Genomic DNA, 5,781 nt, shown 5'->3' with positions numbered 1-5,781 from the left:
CTGGGCCAGTCACACCCTGCTGCGAAATTAACGAGCATCACTTAGCAGCCTCGACATTAACCGCGCTCGCGCTCTCATCCCTTTCTGGTCCTACTCCTTGGAGAACCTTCCTGCACCTCCAAGAACTTGCCGATCGGGTCTGCGGCGGTCTGGACGAGGTCACTCCACAGGCGCCCAGGACCTTCTCATCCGTAGTGACGTGCGCCGGTGACGCCATACAGTGACGTGTGGTGACTCGACTTACCCGGAGCCAGGTGCCGGCAGGGCAGCCACACCCTGGGGCCCCCTGTTCTGGAGGGGCAGAGGGTCGGGCCGATGCGAAAAAGCCGCGGAAGCTGCCTTAGGCGACTTTCTGGGCCTGCATCGCCGGACCCAGCAGCCCGCTGTCGATCGGTTGCTAAGTGACGCCAGCGCGCAGTGGCGCGTGCGCGGCCACGGCGGAGTGCGTGAAAGCGGACGCGCGCCGCAGCAGCCGGGGCGGCGGCGAGGACGGCGGCCACGGAAGCGGCCAAGGGGGCGGTGGCGCAGAGAGGGGTGCGGAGCGGGCGGAAGAGGCGTCTGTGTCGCAGCTTGGTCTCAGAGGAGCATCGCTGGGGTGAGTAGCCGGGTCCTTGCAGGGGAGGTGGGGCCTGGCCGCACCTGCGGCGCGGGGACGCGCGCCCCCGCCGTATCCGCGCGCACCGCCCCCCGCCCCTCCGCCGCTTTTTCCGGGGGCGGGGGAGGAGCTGGGACGGGGCCTGACGAGGGTCATTTCTTGGGCCCGGGTGCTCTGGGAGAGCGGTAGCCGTCCCGTTCGCAGTCCACGAAGGTGTAGTGGGAAGTAGACGTTTCGGGGATTCGGGGTGGCTCTACCAGCCTCCCAAAGAGAGGAGTTCGAATCAGGGGCAGCCCAGGTTCCCTAGCAGTCTCGTATCCTGTCTGAGACGACGTTGCCTGGGACTGAGGAGGCGAAACCCGGGACCCCGGGGTGGGGGTTTGGAAAGTTTGGGACTGCTGGGGCCCTCATCTCCCCTGCCCTGGCCAGCCTCTGAGTAGGAGCTGGTTGTTATGGAGAGAGTTGTGAATCAGTGCCTGCGTGCGGCATCAGACACACCCACGACCTTGGGAGGGCGACCTGTCAGTATAGATCCGGGGCAGCCAACCTGTTGCCTAGAGTTTCTAACTTCACATGTATGTGCATGTGTTTCCTTGGCGTTTTAGTACATTGTTGTTACAGATTTTGAGACCAAGGTGCTGATAGGCATCCTCATTTCTTACTTCCTCATAGACTTAGTTATCTTGCTATATTTCCCAGAACCGTGTTGTGCTTTTGTCATTAGTAGATCCAAGGAAGTATGGAAGCATGTTTTGTTTGTTTTTCCTAAAGGCAGTACAGGCTGCTATTTTCTGGGCAGAAAATACGGATTCTGTTCACTGTGTGGGCGGAAAGTGTTGATGATGGGAGAACCCAGCATGTAAAGGTGTAGCTCATCCTCAGCCCTGTGCTGTCTTCTCAGTGCTCTGGACTCTATCATGGGTAGATGTATAGGGGTTGTGGTTACCATACTTGGGAGCGAGGAATATTGGAGACAGGGAAGAAGCCAGTCTTTTCTTTCTGTTGATTAAGGCAATTTGTAGAACCAGTGAAAAGATAGGCTGTACTGAAATCTAATGTTTTGTGTAAGAGGATAGAGGAAAATAAGTTCAAGGTTCTCATTTAGGTCTAAAATTCTATGATTCTGTTTCATAACTGAGAATCTGTAAAGTATGTTACCTCTTGGAACCAGTAATAACCTTGCTTTGTAACACTTATTAGATTACTCGGAATTCAAAGTGTCTTCCTCCCTCCACTGTAATAGCTTTTAGGACAGGAGTCATCTGTGTTTTCCTCCTTGCCCTATGTCTAACACATAGGAAAAATGTGCTTGCCACAGAGTAGGCATGCAATGGATATTTGTTATATAGCACACTATGCTCAAGTGGTGTATCTATGTATAGAAAGCATTGAGTTCAGTCCATCAAGTACTTAATACATGTGCCTCCCTCTGCCCAGTATCATGATAGGTGTGGGAGGAGGATTATGGAGTGAAAAATGACATAGAAGACCTGTCTTTTTTTTCCCTTTGAGAGCAGTAGTCTAGCTAGGAGATGTATAAAATAATTATAAAACCAAGTTAAGTAGCAGGTAACCAGTGCTGTTTGAGGACTATAAATGTGGTAGAAAATCAGAAAAGATAGGATGTGTAGGCTGAGTTAGGGAACTCTTTGAAAGAGGCAAGATTTGACTTGGTCTCTGAAAGAAGTTAAAATTTGTTAGGAAATAAACCAGGAGCTGAGAAAATAATAATGTGAATTTGGTTGTTGGAGGATATACCAAGACGACTTTTATGTCTGGTAACTGGAGCGGAACGTCTCTTATAGGGGAATACTGGAGAGAGATGGCTTAGCAGGTTGGGAAGGCAAAGTGTTAAGGATTAAGGCGGGCTTATCAGCATCCCACTGTTAACAAGATACAGCCTTCTTGTAAGGTGGGATAGAGGTTGTATTAATCAGAGTACAGTCTTTGACAAGAATAAGTGTTATCCTTACTTGAAAGTAAAGGATATTACGCTTGAACCAATATCAGGTTGTTAATATACTTTTGATTTCAATTACTAATTGGAATCGATGCCTCACTAATGTGCATGTATTTTAGGTAGTCAGTGGTGCATGTCTCATTATCTAAAATCTACCTGATGTACTTGGGCCATTGTATTGGAAATTTACTGAAATGATGTACCAATAGTCATCCAGTCACACTCAGTGACATAGTTTTGCTTGGGATTATCTCTCTGAGGTTTGTCTTTACTGCTGATCCTGTAAAATATACAAATGTTAGTTGGGAAAGGAGTCTTTCTGATGAACGATGCTTAAAAATACTGACCAAAGAGATTTCAGAATAATTAAAGACCCTGCTGCTGAATATTGAACCCTTGGTCTTTATTTATAACATCTTCTGTTATGTGAAAATTCTTTTGAGTGGTATGTAAACCTGAAGTTGAATTGCTAACCAAGATGTGTAAAGTTACAACTGCAAATGTTGCATTATTTAACAACTCAGCAGATACTTACTGGGTGCTGGCTATGGCGAGACACTTCGTTGGGTGCTGGGAAGACAAAGAAGTTAAGACACAGTATATGCTCAGCATACTAAGTGTTCATCAGAAGAGATAAACCACTAACCATTATGTGCTGTGACAAATTAATCACTTTTGGAATGAATAATGTGCTGGGGGAGTAGAGTGCTTTGGCTGGAGAAAAAACTGATAGGGAACATGTTGAGAAGAAGGGGATGGAGCTTAGCTCTGAGGGTTAAATAAAATTTCGCCACATGTAGAGGTGGAAGAGAGCATTCCAGGGGCCAGCATAAGCAAAGTTGCTGAATATTAAAATTAAATAGCGCTTTTGGAAATATCTTGAGTTGTTTCTTGTGGGCAAGAGAGGGGAGAGGGCTGAACTCATCTCAAGAACCCATTCCTGAGATAATGAACCCATTCCTGCTATAATGGCATTCATCCATTCATGAGGGCCTAATCACTTCTTATTGCATGGGGGAAGTGATGAGGCAGGAAGCTGTTTTTGGAGCCAAATTATGAGGGGGTCTTCCACTTCATCCTAAAAAGTCTAGACTCCTCCCATCCATTGGCAGTGGAGAGCCATAGAAGGTAGAATAATCAGAAAGTTGACAGTTCGTGTGCAGATTGCATTAGAGTAGAGAGGCAGGGAGACTAGAGTGTAGGTGAGAAATGTTGGACAATGGGAATGGATAGATTTTGGAGACATTTTTAGATGTTAAAATCTCTACATTTATGACCAGCTAGAGGTAAGGGAGAGTGAGAAGTCAAAGATAATATGTCTAGTTTGAGCAACTGTTTGCTTATGATGACATTAAGTTAGAAATCACAGGAAGAGGAACAGGTTTGAAGTGGAGAGAAGAAATAATGGCAGTGTTAATTCTGAGGTTTCTGTGGGGAGTTTAAAAAGAGAGATCCACTAAGTAACTGGAAATGCTACTTCAGAGTTTATGAGATGGTTAGGGACAATTGTAATATAGATGTCCGCTGAGGCTGTGGGAGTAGCAACCTTCTAGGAGGCATGTTAGTATAGTAGTTAACTTAGTGGACTTTGGAGTTAGGAAGATGGCAGGTCAAATCTCTGTTATGCTGTTTATTGGTTGGCTGACCTTTGGCAAGTTATTTAACTTCTCTAAGCCTAGGCTTCTTATCTGAATTAAAGAATTGTGGAGATTATACATGTGCACAGTGATTAACACAAAGGTACTATGTGCACAGTGATTAACACAATGCCTGTCTTATAGATGCTTAATATAATAAATGGCAGCTGTTGCTGTTATTGTTAGTAGTAGTTATAGATGTAGAGATAGTAGGAGAGGCCCCAATGCCAGAAAAATGGAGAGTGAGAACTGGAAAAGATGGTGAATGGAACTTTTGGACGTTTAAATCAGTATTTAAACTTGGATCAGTTCTTGTCTTTGTTTTGTGCTGCTATTTCATATTTTATGTTTCATAATGGCAGCACAAAACAAACTAAGACAAGAACTGATCTAAGTTTAATTTATAAAGAACAGTCTGGTTAATTTATAAAGAACAGAAATTTATTTCCTGATAGTTCTGGAGGCTAGGAAGTCCCAGATCAATGTGCCAGTATCTGGTGAGGGCCTTCTTGCTGTGTCATAACATGGCAGAAGGCATCACATGGGTGAGAGAGAGAGGGAAGGGGGCTGAACTGATCATGTCAACCTATTCCCACTCTACTGGCATTAATTCATTCATGAGAAAAGAGTCTTCATGGCCTAATCACTAAAGATCCCACCACTCACTGCTGTTGCATTGGGGAATCATGTCTCCTCTAACACATGGAGGACACATGCAAACCATAGTAGTTCTAAAATTTGAAAATGCATTGGGTAGACCTGGAGGTGGCCAGGTGTGGTGGCTCATGCCTGTAACTCCAGCACTTTGGGAGGCTGAGGTGGGTGGATCACTTGAGGTCAGGAGTTTGAGACTAGCCTGGCCAACATGGTGAAACCCTATCTCTACTAAAAATATAAAAATTAGCTGGGTGGGGTGGTGCACACCTGTAATCCCAGCTACTCAGGAGGTTAAGGCAAGAGAATCGCTTGAACCCAGGAGGTGGACATTGCAGTGAGCCGAGATTAGGCCACTGCACTCCGGCCTAGGTGACAGAGCGAGACTCCATCTCAAAAAAGAAAAAAAAAAAGAAATAGCTGGAGGCTTTGGTAAAGCACAGATTTCTGGGTCCCACCCCCATAGTTTCTGATTAAGTAGGTGTGGACTGGGGCTTGAAAAATTGCATTTTTGAACAAGTTCCCAGGTGATGCTGATGGTGCTGTTAGAGGATAGATGAAAGAAAAGGAACCAGCACTAACAAAGTGGTTGAAGTGTATGGAGAACCAGGAGATAGTTTAGAGAAGAATAAGAATTTTAACAGCCTCCAGACTCTCTAGGTCTACCAGTCTGATTTCCAATTTCGTAGAGCTTATCTCATTCTTATTTTTGTTTTCTCCAGAATCTATTATAATGCCTGATACATAGCAATAACCTTTGAAGCTGCTTAATACTGTCCTGGTGCATGATGGCATGTACCTCACACACAGATTTCATTTATCCTCTTTTATCTCTGATGAGTCATGGGGAGGATATGATTTCTAATTTTACACACACACAAAATAACTACAGAAAATTTCTTTCATATATCTGGTGTGTAGCTATGTGCATTTGA

The 5,781-nt window shown here is 45.2% G+C and overlaps 1 protein-coding gene across 11 annotated transcripts in view, besides 3 other annotated features; it reads left to right on the top strand.

Moving 5' to 3' along the window:
- Positions 4-504: an enhancer, noted in NCBI's record as "H3K27ac hESC enhancer chr6:38607667-38608167 (GRCh37/hg19 assembly coordinates)". NCBI's record gives its function as "activates a minimal SCP1, AML or CMV promoter by ChIP-STARR-seq in primed H9 embryonic stem cells {active_cell/tissue: H9 hESC(primed)}" and the evidence as "EXISTENCE:reporter gene assay evidence [ECO:0000049][PMID:30033119]".
- Positions 124-203: an enhancer, noted in NCBI's record as "active region_24482". NCBI's record gives its function as "activates an Ori minimal core promoter by ATAC-STARR-seq in GM12878 lymphoblastoid cells {active_cell/tissue: GM12878}" and the evidence as "EXISTENCE:reporter gene assay evidence [ECO:0000049][PMID:35858748]".
- BTBD9 (BTB domain containing 9) overlaps positions 466-5,781 on the top strand; it is a 471,479-nt gene continuing 466,163 nt past the window's right edge. For all 11 annotated transcript variants that reach the window (NM_001099272.2, XM_047418145.1, XM_047418146.1 and 8 more), the window contains exon 1: positions 466-595. The gene's annotated coding sequence lies outside the window, so the exon portion shown is untranslated. The remainder of the gene's footprint in view (positions 596-5,781) is intronic.
- Positions 604-803: a silencer, noted in NCBI's record as "silent region_17161". NCBI's record gives its function as "represses an Ori minimal core promoter by ATAC-STARR-seq in GM12878 lymphoblastoid cells {active_cell/tissue: GM12878}" and the evidence as "EXISTENCE:reporter gene assay evidence [ECO:0000049][PMID:35858748]".

Source organism: Homo sapiens, chromosome 6 (assembly GCF_000001405.40).
Source record: "Homo sapiens chromosome 6, GRCh38.p14 Primary Assembly".
Classification (NCBI taxonomy): domain Eukaryota; kingdom Metazoa; phylum Chordata; class Mammalia; order Primates; family Hominidae; genus Homo; species Homo sapiens.
The sequence above is the reverse complement of the archived record's forward strand: the minus strand, read 5'-3'. Positions and strand labels throughout refer to the sequence as shown.